The 15,938-nt window shown below is 55.6% G+C and overlaps 1 protein-coding gene across 3 annotated transcripts in view, besides 4 other annotated features; it reads left to right on the top strand.

Annotated features, from left to right (window-relative positions):
* Positions 1-15,938, top strand: part of CAMKK1 (calcium/calmodulin dependent protein kinase kinase 1) — a 32,739-nt gene that overhangs the window by 3,765 nt on the left and 13,036 nt on the right. For 2 of the 3 annotated variants that reach the window (NM_032294.3, NM_172206.2), the window contains exons 2-11: positions 3,559-3,961; positions 4,862-4,909; positions 5,352-5,405; positions 5,809-5,860; positions 6,114-6,247; positions 6,725-6,761; positions 7,641-7,662; positions 8,855-8,943; positions 12,867-13,066; positions 15,827-15,880. In NM_032294.3, coding sequence (NP_115670.1) covers positions 3,602-3,961; positions 4,862-4,909; positions 5,352-5,405; positions 5,809-5,860; positions 6,114-6,247; positions 6,725-6,761; positions 7,641-7,662; positions 8,855-8,943; positions 12,867-13,066; positions 15,827-15,880 — 1,050 coding nt within the window. In that variant the 5' untranslated portion in view covers positions 3,559-3,601. Of the gene's footprint in view, positions 1-3,558; positions 3,962-4,861; positions 4,910-5,351; positions 5,406-5,808; positions 5,861-6,113; positions 6,248-6,724; positions 6,762-6,918; positions 7,033-7,640; positions 7,663-8,854; positions 8,944-12,866; positions 13,067-15,826; positions 15,881-15,938 lie in introns of all 3 variants that reach the window. The other variant, NM_172207.3, reaches the window with a different exon arrangement.
* Positions 175-696: an enhancer, noted in NCBI's record as "H3K27ac-H3K4me1 hESC enhancer chr17:3791887-3792408 (GRCh37/hg19 assembly coordinates)". NCBI's record gives its function as "activates a minimal SCP1, AML or CMV promoter by ChIP-STARR-seq in naive H9 embryonic stem cells {active_cell/tissue: H9 hESC(naive)}" and the evidence as "EXISTENCE:reporter gene assay evidence [ECO:0000049][PMID:30033119]".
* Positions 697-1,216: an enhancer, noted in NCBI's record as "H3K27ac-H3K4me1 hESC enhancer chr17:3791367-3791886 (GRCh37/hg19 assembly coordinates)". NCBI's record gives its function as "activates a minimal SCP1, AML or CMV promoter by ChIP-STARR-seq in naive H9 embryonic stem cells {active_cell/tissue: H9 hESC(naive)}" and the evidence as "EXISTENCE:reporter gene assay evidence [ECO:0000049][PMID:30033119]".
* Positions 8,980-9,274: a silencer, noted in NCBI's record as "tiled region #11291; K562 Repressive non-DNase unmatched - State 16:ElonW". NCBI's record gives its function as "represses a minimal TATA promoter and a strong SV40 promoter by Sharpr-MPRA in K562 cells {active_cell/tissue: K562}" and the evidence as "EXISTENCE:reporter gene assay evidence [ECO:0000049][PMID:27701403]".
* Positions 8,980-9,274: an enhancer, noted in NCBI's record as "tiled region #11291; HepG2 Activating DNase matched - State 10:DNaseD". NCBI's record gives its function as "activates a minimal TATA promoter and a strong SV40 promoter by Sharpr-MPRA in HepG2 cells {active_cell/tissue: HepG2}" and the evidence as "EXISTENCE:reporter gene assay evidence [ECO:0000049][PMID:27701403]".

Below are 15,938 nucleotides of genomic sequence, written 5' to 3'. Positions count from 1 at the left end.
AGTTATCCACCGAATTAAGTTTCTACAGAGTATCTACTAAGGCCTGAGCTTGGGAAGGGCCTTGAGACACCCCCTGTGTGAGCCTCCAGATGGGCCTGGGTTTCCGCCCGGGGCACAGAATCCAGCCCAGCAGGCAGTGCCAGGCTGGTGGGACCAGTGACTATGGGGAAAAGTCCAGATATGAGCTCTGGGATCAGGCTCCCAGGGCCCCCAGGGGCGCGGACCACCCCCCTACCCTGGGCATAGGTACACGGAGACCTGCAGGCACACAGGCGCATAAACACACCTGCGCACACACACATCACACCGAGGTTTTCATCTCCATGCAGTGCGCTCCTGTGTGGGGACCCACAACACACACACACACACACACACGCCACCACCCTGGTCCACAGCCTGCGCACACATATTCCCTCCTGTGGGGACACACGCCCTCACACACGCGGCCGGGGCGCCAGGCCCTGTCTCCCGGACACGCGGCAGGAACCTCGGGCCTCCCCGGCCGGCCGCCTCCCTCGCAGACGCGCTTAGTCACCTGAATTTGATCCAGGCGGGAGGGAGGGATGGGGAGCCTGACGTCAGCCCTCGCGGCCGCCTTCCGCCCGCCCGCGCATCCATCTGGGCCTCAGCGTGTCCCGAGCAATCACAACAGCAGCCGCACAACAACAACTCACTTTTACGGCCTCCTTAGTGGCAGGCACTGTTCTGAGCGCCTTACGGGCGTTCCCTCCTCAGCATCTCACCACGTGCGGTGAGGTGAGGCCCGCTAGAACCCCATCTTGCGGGCGAGGAAAACCCAAGGCACAGAGGCGAAGCCACCTGCTCACGGGCTCCCAGCCAGGAAAGGGTGCAGCCTGGCTGCCTGGCTTCAGAGCCTGGGCGCCAAACCGGGTAACAGGGCTCAGGCTGGAACAGGAAACCTTCTGCCCCGACTTGCTGGGTGACCCCGGGCCCATCCCCACCCGCTGGGCCTCCCTCTACCTATCTAAGAAAAGCAGGGAAAGGTGTTCAAGGGTAAAGGAGGATGGCCTCTTGCTGGAATGGCAACCTCAAGGAAATACGCAAATTTTATGGGCCCGGGCAGCCTGTGGCTTCTGCCTGTGGCGGCTCTGAGTCCCGTAGTCCCTGCCTAGGGCCAAAAAGCAGGAGCTCCTGACTCTGGAGTTCATTCTGTTATATGTGCTGGGGCCTGAGGCTTGCTGGGGTTGCCTCTCTGAGGCTGCTTTCTCATCTGTCTAATGGGGACAGGGCTGTAACGATCACTATGGCAACCACTCATTTATTCAACAAATATTTATCGAGTTCCTATCACATGCCAGGCACTGATGATCTTTTGGAGACAAGGCAGATGAGCGTCCTAATCTCATGAAACTTACATTCGGGAGGGAAAAACAAGGCATGCGGAGTGAGGGGAAGGGGCGGAGGGGTGGGCCACCTGCTGGGAGGAGCCTGGCGGGTCCTGGAGGGTGTTCCCAGCTTTGGCTTCCTCCTTCCTATGCTGTCTGGTTTCCAAGCTCTCCCCGAAGCTCCAGCCCCACTCACTGTCCCTCTCACCTCCTCCAGGGAGGCCTCCCTATGCCACAGCCTCTCACCTCCTCTGGGGAGGCCTCCTTATGCCACAGCCCCACTCTCTGTCCTCTCTCACCTCCTCCAGGGAGGCCTCCCTGTGCCACAGCCCCACTCCCTGTCCCCTCTCACCTCCTCCAGGGAGGCCTCCTTGTGCCACAGCCGCACTCACTGTCTCCTGCCCTCTCTTCCAGGGAGGCCTCCCTGATACTCTAGCCTCACTCAGCCTCCTCACCTCCTTCACCTCCTCCAGGGAGGCCTCCTTGATGTTCCAGCCTCATTAACTCCCTCTCACTCCTCTGGGTCCAGCTTCCATGACTTTTCCTGTTCCTAGTGTGGAGCCTCCTCTCTTCCTTTCTCCATGTCAGCACCAGCCCCACCGCCTCCAGGCTTCTACTCATTCAACACACTGCGTACCGGGCACAGGGGGTCTGGACCTCACCCTTACCCTCAGTCTACCTCCAAACCCTGCTGTGAGCCTGGAAAATATGGGAAGGCAGGGAATCCACAGGACAAGTCGGGAGACTGGGGCTCAGAGTCGGGAAGGAGCTGGTCTAGGGCCCCTGGTGGGTCAGCAGGCAGGACTGGAACCCAGTCCTGGCTCCTCAGTGGCCGGTGGACTCCAGCCAGCCCTGCCTCGCTGACATCTGTCAAAGCAAGGGGATGGGGAACGAGCGGTAGAGCAGGCGCTTCACCATGCGTACTCTGGGTCTCCCTGAGACCCATGTTCTCAGTTGCTGTGTGGGTTCGGAGGAAGTTACCAGCAGACAGGAAGGATGGAGGGTCAGGAGTTCACTCACTTCCTTCTCCTGAGAACATGCAGAGTCCAGCGCAAGCAGGGGGAAGGGCATCAGGTTGGGCATGGCCAGCGCTCTACAAGCCTGGGACAGAGATGGGGGTCTCAGGCTGAGTGTCAGGGTTCAGTCCGGGGTCAGGATGTAGCCCAGGGTCATGGCTGAAGGTGAGGGCTGGGGGTCACCTCCCTGATGTTTCAGCCGCCACACAGTGAGTTTGAGAACATGAGTCTCAGGGGATGTCATGCCCCTGTTTCACCCCTCATTCCCCTCATTCTCATCCCCTTGCTTTTTTTTGAAACCGAGTCTTGCTCCGTCACCCAGGCTGGAGTGTAGTGGCGTGATCTTGGCTCACTGCAACCTCCACCTCCCAAGTTCACACGATTCTCCTGCCTCAGCCTCCCGAGTAGATGGGATTTCAGGTGCACGCCACCATGCCTGGCTAATTTTTGTATTTTTAATAGAGACAGAGTTTTGCCATGTTAGCCAGGCTAGTCTCGAACTTCTGACCTCAGGTGATCCACCTGCCTCGGCCTCCCAAAGTGCTGGGATTACAAGTGTGAGCCACCATGTGGGGCCCATCCCCTTGTTTTGACAGACGTCAATGAGGCAGGGCTGGCTGGAGTCGGGAGCCCCAGGGAAGTCTTCCTGGAAGCAGTGAGAGGGATGGGGGTAGGAGGCTGAAACATCAAGGAGGGCTCCCTGGAGGAGGCGGGTGGGTCTGAAGCATCAGCAAGGCTTCTGAGTTACTAGTGTCTAGCTCAGCTTCCAGGAGGCAGTGTCGGAGTGCTCTGCTGTCAAGGGTTGGGACTCATGACTCACAGGGCTGCATGCTGTGCTGGGGCTGAGCTGACCCTGGGCTCTGCCCCTTCCAGTGCTGCTGGGCCTCCAGGCTTCTGCCCTGTCTGTCCTGATTCCAGAATATCAGATTCTCTCTGCTTCCCTGTGAAGCCAGCAGGCAGAAGTGACTGCCTCTGTTACCGGCAGGGATACTGAGGCCTAGAGGGCTGGCATGCGGCAGAACCGATGTGAATTCATTCAGGTCATAGGGACAGACTTGAGTTTGGGTGTTGGCAATCCCGGTAGAGGGAACAGCCAGGGCAAAGGCATGGAGGTGGGACCCACAGCGCTGTGGCTACCTTACCTGGTAGCCAGCCTGACACCCAGGAGTGAAGCCTTCTCTGCCTTCTTTTCTCAGGTTCCCAACAAGGCTACGCAGAAGAACCCCCTTGACTGAAGCAATGGAGGGGGGTCCAGCTGTCTGCTGCCAGGATCCTCGGGCAGAGCTGGTAGAACGGGTGGCAGCCATCGATGTGACTCACTTGGAGGAGGCAGATGGTGGCCCAGAGCCTACTAGAAACGGTGTGGACCCCCCACCACGGGCCAGAGCTGCCTCTGTGATCCCTGGCAGTACTTCAAGACTGCTCCCAGCCCGGCCTAGCCTCTCAGCCAGGAAGCTTTCCCTACAGGAGCGGCCAGCAGGAAGCTATCTGGAGGCGCAGGCTGGGCCTTATGCCACGGGGCCTGCCAGCCACATCTCCCCCCGGGCCTGGCGGAGGCCCACCATCGAGTCCCACCACGTGGCCATCTCAGATGCAGAGGTTGGTGGGGCAGAACGAGGGGTTGTTCATGAGCCCCTCAGTAGTCTGCAATGAAGACTCTTTCCTGCCCCTGTCTGTGCCACACGGCTATCTAGCTTTGGTTTGCATACCCTCAGAGCTGGGGAGATCACTACCTAACAATATAGCTTCTTCCCAACCAGGGGAGCTCCAGCTGAGCCAAAGGCTGCCTTCCCTAAGTCCTGCTATTCCCACTCCCAGCCCAGGCCTAGGAAATAGGTCTCTCCCTGGTCCCCTATGTAGTCTTCTTAGAGATGTGAAGATAGATGCTATGTCCCCCTTCCCCCCTAACTCTTCTCCAGCTTGCACCCCTCGCCTCTAATTCTGCCTCTTAGAGTCTGCTGTGACTCAGAAGCGGCCGGCCTGCCTCCAGCCTCTGGGCTTCTGCTGGAGTTCTTGCCATTTAGGTCTGAAAGTGAACTCAGGTTCCAAGCAGTCTACAGATGTCAGGGGCTGAGCTTTCTGTGCCTGAACCCAGGCTCTCAGCCTCTGTGCCCAGGGCTCCTCATCTTGTCCTTGGAGTCTAGACCTTCTCATTCAGCTGCTTCTGGAAATAGTTGCTCATGGGTTTCTCATGGATTAGGGTCTTCCAGACTCCAGAATCCAGACAGGAATTAGCGTTTTCCCTTCACCACTGCTTCTGGGGAACAAGGCACAGCCATGGCGTCACCATCCATGTTTTCAAACATGAGCCACGTCTTCTCGTCACATACGGGGGCGATGGCACCACCAACTTCCCCATCCAAACTCAAAAGCTTGGTGAGACCTGGGGGTCCGGGAATGAGGAGCTTATGGCCAGAATTGGACCCTGAACGGGCTCTGAGGTAGGAGCAGTGCTGCCTCCGGACCCAGCTCCACCTGGTGCTCGCTCTTCCCCCACAGGACTGCGTGCAGCTGAACCAGTACAAGCTGCAGAGTGAGATTGGCAAGGTAGGAGTGGGCAGGCCGAGAGCAGTGGGGGCTTCGGGATTCTCTGTTTGGCGCTGCTCCTTCTCTCGTGTGGGAGGGAACGGGAGGCAGAGCCAGGCAAGTCCTAGCCTGGAGGTGAGGACAGTTTCGTGCCCTGTGGGAAGTACCCAGGTACCCAGGGGGAGGGTGGAAGATGGCTCCTGATTCCCGACTCTCTGAGTTCTTGACAGTGGACAAGGAGGGACTGAGGGAGGCATGGAGCCATGTGGAGCCAAGCAGGGGCAGTTACCAGGGCGCAGGAGTCCCCTCCCCATCTGCTACAATATTTGCCCGTGAGCCAGCTGGTGGTGGGTAGTGCAGATGGGGTGCAGGAGAGACCAGAGCTGCTCGGCTCCCCACCTCCTGAGCTGGTCCTGGGAGGGGTTGCCCTGTCCAGGTGGGGCTGACTGATGCCTATCTGCAGGGTGCCTACGGTGTGGTGAGGCTGGCCTACAACGAAAGTGAAGACAGACACTATGTGAGTCTGGGGATACGAGGGAGGTGTTGCCCAAGCCAGGCCCTGGAAGCCTGAGGGGTGGGGCAGGAGTTGTGCTTAGGAGATAGAGGACAGGGCTGCCTGAGAGTGAGCTCCCTGTCCCTAGGGGTATGCAAAGGAATGAGCTTCCTAACCCTGGGGATATGCAAGCAGAGACTGGATTCCTCTGAGGGGAAAGCTCCAGAAAGGCTTGCTGGGGGAATAAGGGGAAGGGCTAGGCTCAGATATGGCCACCCCCAACCCCGCTTAACACTTACCTGGGCCACACCCTCAGGGCCAGTAGCAGATGTCCAGTGTGCCTCTCCGGACCTCAGTCCACATGTACCAGCCTGTTCTAGCCCCTGGTGGCTGCACAGTAGTGACATTTCTGTCCCTCCTTCCTTAGGCAATGAAAGTCCTTTCCAAAAAGAAGTTACTGAAGCAGTATGGCTTTCCACGTATGTATCTTCTGATCCTGTCCCTGGGAGCTCCTAGCCTGGAGGCAGAGGAGGAGACCTCGATCCTGAGCTAGTTTTGGCTAGGAATGGGGTAGAGAGGGAGACAGCGTGAGCAGAGGCCTGGGGACAGAATGTGCCCTGTGGGTTGGGACAAGACCACGGGCATGCAAGACTCTTGCTTGAGACTGGTTTGGGGGCCACGGTGAGGCCCAGCCACCTGGAACAGGTGTTTGAGTTCTCTTCCTGGTCACAGGTCGCCCTCCCCCGAGAGGGTCCCAGGCTGCCCAGGGAGGACCAGCCAAGCAGCTGCTGCCCCTGGAGCGGGTGTACCAGGAGATTGCCATCCTGAAGAAGCTGGACCACGTGAATGTGGTCAAACTGATCGAGGTAGGGGGTGGTGGTGAGCAGGTGGGAACCAGCACCTGAGTCTCATGGGAGCCGCTTCTGGTGCTGGGGAGCCCCTAGCACAGACCCAGGGATCTTGCCCAGGTGGCAGATGTGGCTGAGGCCTCTGAGGACAGGGCCAGACTTGGGGTGGGGCTGCAGGAAGGCTTTGGGGGCCCAGCCTGGTCAGGGATGTTCCCAAGTTCCCATGGAGGGTGAGGGGCTGCCCCAGAGGCAAGAAGTGAGCCCCTCATTGCAGCTGGAGGGGAGGAAGGCTGGATGTCGTGTGGCGGGCCAGGTTGGGGGTCGGTGACTTCTGAGGCCCCATCAGTCTGGCACCACCTGTACACTTCCTGCTTCCTTGTCTGGGGTGGTTGCATGCATACTAAGGGTTCTGGGGCTGGCAAGGACCAGGAGGCCTGGGACCTCCAACCCCACGCCTCCTCAAGCCCCACCCCCATGTCTGCTCCCTCTGACCAGGTCCTGGATGACCCAGCTGAGGACAACCTCTATTTGGGTGAGTGACCTGGCTCATTCCCACAGCAGCTCACTCAGGGCTGGCCCAAGGGCTCCCTTGGGACATGTATGACCTTCAGGTGGGCGGTGTAAATGCACTGACCTCCTGGGGACAGAAGAAAAACACACGTTCTGAAGCCCTGGATTCCCTTGCCCAGCCCTGCAGAACCAGGCCCAGAATATCCAGTTAGATTCAACAAATATCGCCAAGCCCCACTCCCTGCTTCCCTCTGAGCAGCAAGACAGTGGATCCACGTGGGCTGCGCGCTCAGGTAGATGCAGGAAGCAGGCTGCATGGGTTCCCAGACACTGTAGCTCTGTGCCTCAGTTTTCCCACCTATAAAACAGGGATACTAGTGGTGTCTACCTCATAGGGTTCCTGTGAAGAGTAAATGAGTAATTATATGTAAAGCACATTCGTTATTATCCTTGTTAATAGTAATGTTATTATTTTAGTTCCTTGTGTCTGGTTCAGGGCTGGGCTTAGAGGAGGCCTCAGAAAATGGGGCAGAAGAAGAACTGGCTTAGGAATTAGAGGCTGAGGCTTTAGTCTCCACTCCCTACCCTACCTGCCTGTCTGCTATGACCTTTAGGAAAATTTCTGCCCCTTCTCTGTGCCTCAGTTTCCCCCTCTGTAAAAGGGCCCCATGCTGATGCTGATGGTTCTCACCTGGCACCTGAGGATCAGATGAGACAGGTCCATAGCAGACCCCACTCTCATGCATTTATTTGCTCTCATATCCCAGGGTCCCCTGTCCTGTCCCTGCCTCGAGTATGCCTGCATGCCTGCCCCCTCTCCTACCCTCCAGAACAGGGAGGGACCTTGGCATCGGCTGCTTTGCCAGCCAGCTACACCTTACCTTCTTGTCTTTTCTTTCAGTGTTTGACCTCCTGAGAAAGGGGTGAGTTCCCCGTCCTGATCAGGCAGGTCAATTCTCATCCAGGCCTTCCTTCCTTTCCCTCCCTGTGTCCCCAGCCCAGGGGTCAGCTACTCTAGGAGAAGTCAGAGACGGAGGCCCTGCCCTTAGGGGTAAATAAGAGACCAAGAGGACCATTCTTTGAAGGCTGATGGGGGTCAGTGAGGCTGAAATAGTCAGGGAGACCTCTGGAAAAGGGGACGGATTTTGACCCAGGCCTTGAAGAACTAGGAAGATAGGGATGGAGGAGAGGGGGAAGAAAGGAGTGTTTTTTAGGTAAAAGTATATAGAGGTGGGACTCAACTCTTACCGGTATTCAAATCACAAAGGGTTTTTCAGCTTTCCAACAAGTCTGTGAATGGAGTGGGTGGGATTCCAGTTGCTCCCATTTGTGAGAGGGAAAGCTAAGGACCAGAGAAGGTACGTGGCTTGCTCAAGGTCACACAGCAAGTCACTGATGGAGCCCAGGCTTCCACATGTCTGCCCTATGCGGCTTTTCAGGGTATTTACAGAGCAGATGACATGGAGTAATGAGCACGGGGCTGGGTGGTCCGGGACCCTCACTGCCAAGGCTTGAATGCAGCCTGCGGCTTGTCCCTTTGCCTGGGCGGCTCCCTACAGACCAATCTGGGGAGAGGGGCAGGGAGTGGTGTCCCTTTAAGACTTGGAGGCTTTCAAATGTTTTGACCTCTATCCAAAACAAGAAATATATATTTCTATTGCTATCCATATCTGTAACTGAAACCAAAATTTTACAAAGCAGCATATATCTTTACTACATGCAATATATTCTGATATATTCTACTTATTTAGGAAAAAAAAAAAAAAGCAGTTGCCACCCACTAAATTGATTTCATGATCCTCTCTTGGGTCTGGATCCACGGTTTGAAACAGTGCTCTAAATGGCATCTTTGCAATTGATTATGGACAATTAAGTACTTAGAAGAAGGAATATCAAGCCAATCAGAAATTAAGAGAAAGCTGATTTGAAATTATGATTGAAATGGGATATGTATGAGTATGTGTGCTTTAAATTTTTTATTATGTAGCAGAAAAAGCTAATATCTTGAGTTGTAGGGACTCATGTGGGCACAGGTTTCCCGGGACGTCCCGACCACCTGAATGGCCGGGTGCCCTGATTTCAGCTGAATGCCCCTCCCCGCATCCTTCTCCATAGGCCCGTCATGGAAGTGCCCTGTGACAAGCCCTTCTCGGAGGAGCAAGCTCGCCTCTACCTGCGGGACGTCATCCTGGGCCTCGAGTACTGTGAGTGCGGGGCAGCTTGCCCACTGGGGCTGGGGCTAGGGGATCTGGCAGGCGGCAGAGCCCAGGCTGAGCAGACTCTGAGCAGCTCCCGTCAGTCAGAGCTGACCTGCCAATCAGCTTCAGTGGGAGTGGGGCATGCACGTGTGGCGGGGCCAAAGGCCTTTTTGTGGGGTGGGGCGGGCGGTGGACTCCACTGGGCATGTGCCAGATCCTTCGTCGTGTCTGGTCCTGTGGGTCTGAGTCCTGGCTGTTCTGTATCTTTCTTCTGCTGAGTTCTTAGCCTAGCTTAGCGTTGCCACGGGGCTTCAAGAGATGTGGGAAGGAAGGGATTTATGTCCAGCTGCTGGGGAGAGTCTGTCCTGGCATGGGGCCGGGGCATGGTGGCAGGGTGGATTTACCTGTGAGGGGCCCTAGTCTGATAAGAGCTCAGGAGGGTGATGTGAGCTTGGCCTCTGTCTCATTTCATTCATTAGCTACATTCACTTGCCTGGGGGCATAGGGGTGAAAGACCCAGACCCGAGTTCACGGCCTAGTGGGAGGGACAGGAATCTAGGCAGGCAGATAATACAGCGTGGTGCCTGCCAAGGCTGGGGAGCCTAGAGGCTGTAGGAGTGCCGGGGGGCTGGGGAAGTCTCCCTGAAGAGGCTACTTATGATTCGGGTCCTGAGGGATGAGTAGACTTCCCTGCTCAGGTTTTGAGGGATGGGCGTGGAAGACGATGTGCCTGGCATAGGCGTGTACTCTGAGTCTGGGGAGAAGTGGAGTCTGGCTGAAGCCTCCAGTGGGCAGAGGAGGGCCGTGGTTAGTGAAAGATGATGCTGGAAACACTGTCCGGGCCACAGCATGAGGGCTGGGAATCCCTCCCCTGAGGTCTTTGCTGACTGCATCCTGCCAGCTCTGTGAGGCCCTGAGAGCTTTAAGCATGGGGAGGGGCGTGATGGGATTTGTGCCTGAGAAAGCTCTGTCTGGCAGCTGTGTGGTGGCTGGATTGGAGTGTGTCATCGGAGGGTGAGAGGCAGCCAGCTGGCCAGGGAGGAGGCTGTTTCTGCAGCCCAAGTGACAGATGGTGAGGCCTGGATTAAGGCAGTGGCAGCAGGATGGGGATAGGAAGGAGGTGGGGTGGTCAGCATGGAGTGACTTGCCGGTCTGGGGAGAGGAGAGCCCCTAGACACCTAGGGTCCTGGCGTGGGTTGGGGACCAGGGGAGATGCCCATCTCTAAAATCTTAGCTTGGGCCAGGCGCAGGGGCTCATGCCTGTAATCCCAGCACTTTGGGAGGCCGAGGTGGGTAGATCACCTGAGGTCAGGGGTTTGAGACCAGCCTGGCCAACGTGGCAAAAGCCTGTCTCTACTACAAATACAAAAATTAGCCTTGTGTGGTGGTGGGCACCTGTAATCCCAGCTACTCGGGAGGCTGAGGCAGGAGAATCGCTTGAACCTGGGAGGTGGAGGTTGCAGTGAGCCGAGATCACGCCATTGCACTCCAGCCTGGGTGACAAGAGTGAAACTCCATCTCAAAATAAATAAATAAATAAATGCATACATACATATATACATACATACATAAAAATAAAAAATAAAATCTTAGCTTGGTTTCTTGGGAGCATATTCTTTCCCTGGGGGAACAGGGTGGGGATCTGGCTGAGGTTTGACCTGCAGTGACAGAAACAGGACTGTCTTTATCCTGCTCGAGCCTCTCCTTTGCCTTCAGATTAAGACTCTCTTTGCACATATGGGGAAACTGAGGCACACAGAGGGGAGGGCTTTGCAGAAAATCCCTACCAAGGGCCTAGAGGCATGGGATGGGAAGGGGACATTTTACCCCGGTACGGTCAGTGGCAGGCACAATCCTGTACCAGCTTGGCTCCACCTCCTTCCTGTTGTAGTCCCTTCTTTCCCCTGAAGTCCTGTTGTCTGCTATCCCCTAGCCTCCACAAAGAAACGAGTTTATCTTACCTGGTTCTTGGGTAAAGCCTCATCAGGACCCAGCTAATCACAGTGAAGGGCTTCCCTGGGGCAGAACGGTTAGCGCCAGGGGCTGGACAGGTGGATGAACAGAGGCACGAGGGCGCTGAAGACCTGCCTTGTGATTCTGGCCCCAAGAAGAGAGAGTTGAGGCTGCCATGAGAGGGCTCGGTGGTCAGGGTGGCCCAGGCCTGGTTCTCAGTTGATGGGGGCAGGTGCAACGATGCAGATGATGAGAAGCAGTTGGATCTGGAATAGATGTGAGAAGCTGAGCTCACAGACCTTGCTGATGAGCAGGATGTGGGGTCTCAGAGGAGGAATTGAGGATGATCCTGAAGTTTTTGGCCTTTCACAGAATGGAAAAGAATGGGGAGCAGCAGGGGCGTTTTGTTTTGCTTTGTTTTGATTTTGTTGGTGGTAGGCATTGCAGGCAGAGAAATCAAGTTCTGAATTAGACATGTTATTGCACTGTGTTCAGATATACAGAGACATATATCGATGCCTAGCTGCCTAGTTATCTACCAAGATGTCTATTGGAAATCTATGTGGGTAAAGAGCTGGAGTTCAAGGGAGAGGCTAGGGTTTGAGATAAGAACATGAGACCACTTTCCATGGTCAAATATCCACCCCCCTGAGCTTCTGTGCCCTGAAGGGTGTGTCAGATTCCTTGTGTGTGCCTGGCACATAGTAGGCAATCAAGAAAGTGCCACTGGTTTTATGGTTATTGTTATACGGCACCCGCCTTCTCTGCCCGCAGCCTCCCTCTCCTCTTCTCCCTTCCTCTTTCTTCTCTCGCCTTCTCTCCTCCCTCCTCTCCAGCATCCTGGGGTCCGTTGGTCCAGATGAAGGTACTTGCCAAGGAGGGAGCCCACAGGTCGATGGTCGCGGGATGGGGTCAGTGGGGTCATTGTCTCTCTTGGCTGGGACCTTACCAGTCATGTCAGCTTGAGCCACCTGTCACTTCGTGGTGGTGCTGGGCCCAGAAAGCAGGGCAGACCTCCAGCCTATTAGGTCATTTCTGATTTGGGATTCGTCCTACTATATGTGGCTGACCTTACACCCCAGCTGTGTCATCCTGCTTGTCCCAAGGCCTGGGGTGCCATCCATCTCTCTGAAACCCCATCAGCCCAGATCCCGAGGGCTGAGATGGTACCTCTGTAGGATAGCAGAGTCCCTACAATCTTACTCTCAGTCCCAGCAGCAGGGACATCTTTGCCTAGCCTGGGTGGGGGATGGAACTGGAGAAAGGTTTTGATTGGCTTTGGGCCTGCAGACGGCACTCACAGGGAAGGGGCAGAGCTAGCCTAGGAAGAACTCTGCTCCCAGCTGGGGGCGGTGGCTCACGCCTGTAATCCCAGCACTTTGGGAGGCCAAGGTGGGTGGATCACCTGAGGTCAGGAGTTCAAGACCAGCCTGACCAACATGGCGAAACCCTGTCTCTACTAAAAATACAAAAAGTAGCCGGGCGTGGTGGCAGACACCTGTAATCCCAACTACTCGGGAGGCTGAGGCAGGAGAATCTCTTGAACCTGGGAGGTGGAGGCTGCAGTGAGCCGAGATCACGCCATTGCACTCCAGCCTGGGGGACAGAGTGAGACTCTGTCTCAAAAAAAAAAAAAAAAAACCAAAAAAAAAAACAGCAACAACTCTCCTGCCCTAGTTTCCTCTGACCTCCCCACTCAGCAGCAGATCCCTTGTTTGTCATGGAGAGGGTGCTGGACTTGGAGTCCAAAGACTCCTAAGATTCCAGTCCTGGCTCTGCTGCTCACAGCCTGGGCTCAGTGTCTGCACCTGCGTGGAGCAGATGGCCCTGACGTCCTCCTCCCAGGTCGTCACCAGACGAAAGTGTGCATGGGCTGGGATGTCCCGGCCGGCGTCCCTGGCTGTGCAAGGACGGGTGTGGGGTCCTGGCCAGCGGTGCCCAGGCCAGCGCTCAGCTCAAGCTCCCCTTCTCTGCAGTGCACTGCCAGAAGATCGTCCACAGGGACATCAAGCCATCCAACCTGCTCCTGGGGGATGATGGGCACGTGAAGATCGCCGACTTTGGCGTCAGCAACCAGTTTGAGGGGAACGACGCTCAGCTGTCCAGCACGGCGGGAACCCCAGCATTCATGGCCCCCGAGGCCATTTCTGATTCCGGCCAGAGCTTCAGTGGGAAGGTGACTCGCAGGCCCTGGGCCAGGCTGGGGTTCAAGTGGGGGGCGTAATAGCTTGCCGCAGTGGCCCAGTTTCTAACCTGAGGGTGCCAGGGTCTTTGTGTCTAGGGAGTGACATATTTGCCTCTTCCTTGGAGCCTGACAAACTCCACAACTTTGGCCTTCTCCTGTTTTCCAGCAAAGTGGTCCCAAATCTCCCTTGCAGATATTTACTGTTGGTTGCTCTGTGCTGGGTTCTGGACTGGACTGTGGAAGAGGCAGAAACAAAGAGAACCCTGTTTCCTGCCCTCTGGATGGTTTCGGGGGAAGTTGGGGGTCCCCGCAGATCTTGGGACATGGCAGGATTTGAACTGGCCCTTGAAGAATGGGGAGGATCTGAGCAGGACCTGGAGCCTAGAGAATAAACCAGAGAACAGAAGGGCTCAGGGTGGGGGGCAGAGGGTATAAAGGGCCTGGAAGTTTGGGCTTTCTCCTAAGTGACAGGAGCGTAGGCAAAGTTGTCTGAACAAGAGGTTACACGGTCTGGCGCAGTTCCCTGGGCACATGGCTGTTTCACCTATGGAGTGCCAGCCACCCCACTGCCAGGGAGGCTGTGGGTGAGAGGCATTTGGACACGTGTGAGTATCCAGGAAAGAGGTCAGGAGGCCGGGCACAGTGGCTCATGCCTGTAATCCCAGTGCTTTGGGAGGCCAAGGTGGATCTCTTAAGGCTAGGAATTTGAGATGAGCCTGGGCAACATAGCAAGACCCCATTTCTACAAAAAAAAAAATAAAAACATTAGACAGGTGTGGTAGTGCACACCTGTAGTCCCAGCTACTTGGGAGGCCGAGGTGGGAGGATCGCTTGAGTCCAGGAGTTGGGGGCTGTAGTGAGCTGTGATGGTGTCTAGCCTGAGTGACTGAGCGACACCTTGTCTCGAAGAAAGAAAGAAAGACGTTGGGGATGTTGATAAAGATTTTTTGAAATGTTTTATTTTGATATAATTCTAAATTTACAGAAAAGTTGGAAGAATAGTACAAAGAAATCCCCTATATCTTTTTACCCAGATTCACCAATTATTGACATTTTGTCCCACTGGCTTTTTCATCATCTTTCTTTTTTTTTGAGCCGGAGTCTCGCTCTGTCGCCCAGGCTGGAGTGCAGTGGCGCGATCTCAGCTCACTGCAAGCTCCACCTCCTGGGTTCACGCCATTCTCCTGCCTCAACCTCCCGAGTAGCTGGGACTACAGGCGCCCACCACCACGCCCGGCTAATTTTTTGTATTTTTTAGTAGAGACGGGGTTTCACCGTGTTAGCCAGGATGGTCTGGATCTCCTGACCTCGTGATCCGCCCGCCTCGGCCTCCCAAAGTGCTGGGATTACAGGTGTGAGCCACCACGCCCAGCCAGAAATTAATCATTGATAAGACTTATATATCGGTCAGGCATGGTGGCTCATGCCTGTAATTCCAGCCCTTTGGGAGGCCAAGGTAGGTGGATCACCTGAGGTCAGGAGTTTGAGACCAGCCTGGCCAACGTGGTGAAACCCCGTCTCTACTAAAAAATACAAAAATTAGCCGGGCATGGTGGCGGGCACCTGTAATTCCAGCTACTTGGGAGGCCGAGGCAGGTGGATCACCTGAGGTCAGGAGTTTGAGACCAGCCTGGCCAACGTGGTGAAACCCCGTCTCTACTAAAAAATACAAAAATTAGCCGGGCATGGTGGCAGGCACCTGTAATTCCAGCTACTTGGGAGGCTGAGGCAGAAGAATCGTTCGAACCCAGGAGGCAGAGGTTGCAGTGAGCTAAGATCGTGCTATTGCACTCTAGCCTGGGCGACAGAGTGAGACTCTGTCTGAAAAAAAAAAGACATACATAATCCACAGACCTTATTTAAATGTTATCAGTTGTCCTGATACTGTACTTCATAACTTCTTCTTTTTCTGGTCCCGGAATCCAATCGAGGACCACTTGCTGCATTCACCTTCTTGTCTGTGGTATCCTTTCATCTGGAAGAGGGCCTTGGCCTGCCGTTGTCTTTCCTGATCTTGACATTTTGGAAGACAACCAGCCTGTTATTTTGTAGAATGTTGTCAGTTTGCATTTGTCTGGTGTTCCCTGGTTGGATTCAGATGATGCATCTGGGGCAGGAATATGTAGGTAGAGATCGAGAATCACTCATATAAGCGAGAAAGTGGATACCAGAAGAGGTGGCGTTCCGGAGCAGAAGGTAGAGAGAGCACACGCTGGAGTCCAGGGCGCGGGGAGGCCCAGGGGTGTTTGGGAGCCCAGAGGAGTTGTTGCAGTGGCGGTGGATGAGGGCGTGAGAGGACAGGGCCTCTGTGTGGGCAGGGGCTGTTTGCAATATCAGGAAGAAGGTGGATTATGAGGAGAAGGGATGACTCCTTGAAGCCCGAGCTGGTTTAGTGAGCAGAAGTTCCATATATACCATCATTCCTGGGGTGCGTCTGTGGCACGGGAGCGGCCCGTGTGACCCTCTGGATGAAGGAGGTTTTGTACCTGTTGAGTTGGAAACGTACCTGGTTAGAGTCTTTCCCAAGGAAATCCAGAACCCCTGGAGGGTGGAGGCCTTGTTCTGGCCGCCCCTGTGTCCTCAGCACTCAGCACGGGGCCCAGCATCGGGCAAGTACCGCGGAGTGTTTGTCGAGTGAGTGCATGACAGAGGAAAGAGGTTCCCTGCAGGCCTCTCCTGCAGCCCGCTGGAGCTGGGTGGGCAGAGGTGGCTGTGCCTGTTGGGGACTGATGTGAGCATGTTTCTTTCCAGGCCTTGGATGTATGGGCCACTGGCGTCACGTTGTACTGCTTTGTCTATGGGAAGGTGAGTGCCAGGGATGCCAGCAGAGCTGGGGCGGGTCCAGTGAGGCGGGCACGGGCGA

This window comes from Homo sapiens, chromosome 17 (genome assembly GCF_000001405.40).
Source record: "Homo sapiens chromosome 17, GRCh38.p14 Primary Assembly".
NCBI classification, from domain to species: Eukaryota; Metazoa; Chordata; class Mammalia; order Primates; family Hominidae; genus Homo; species Homo sapiens.
The sequence above is the reverse complement of the archived record's forward strand: the minus strand, read 5'-3'. Positions and strand labels throughout refer to the sequence as shown.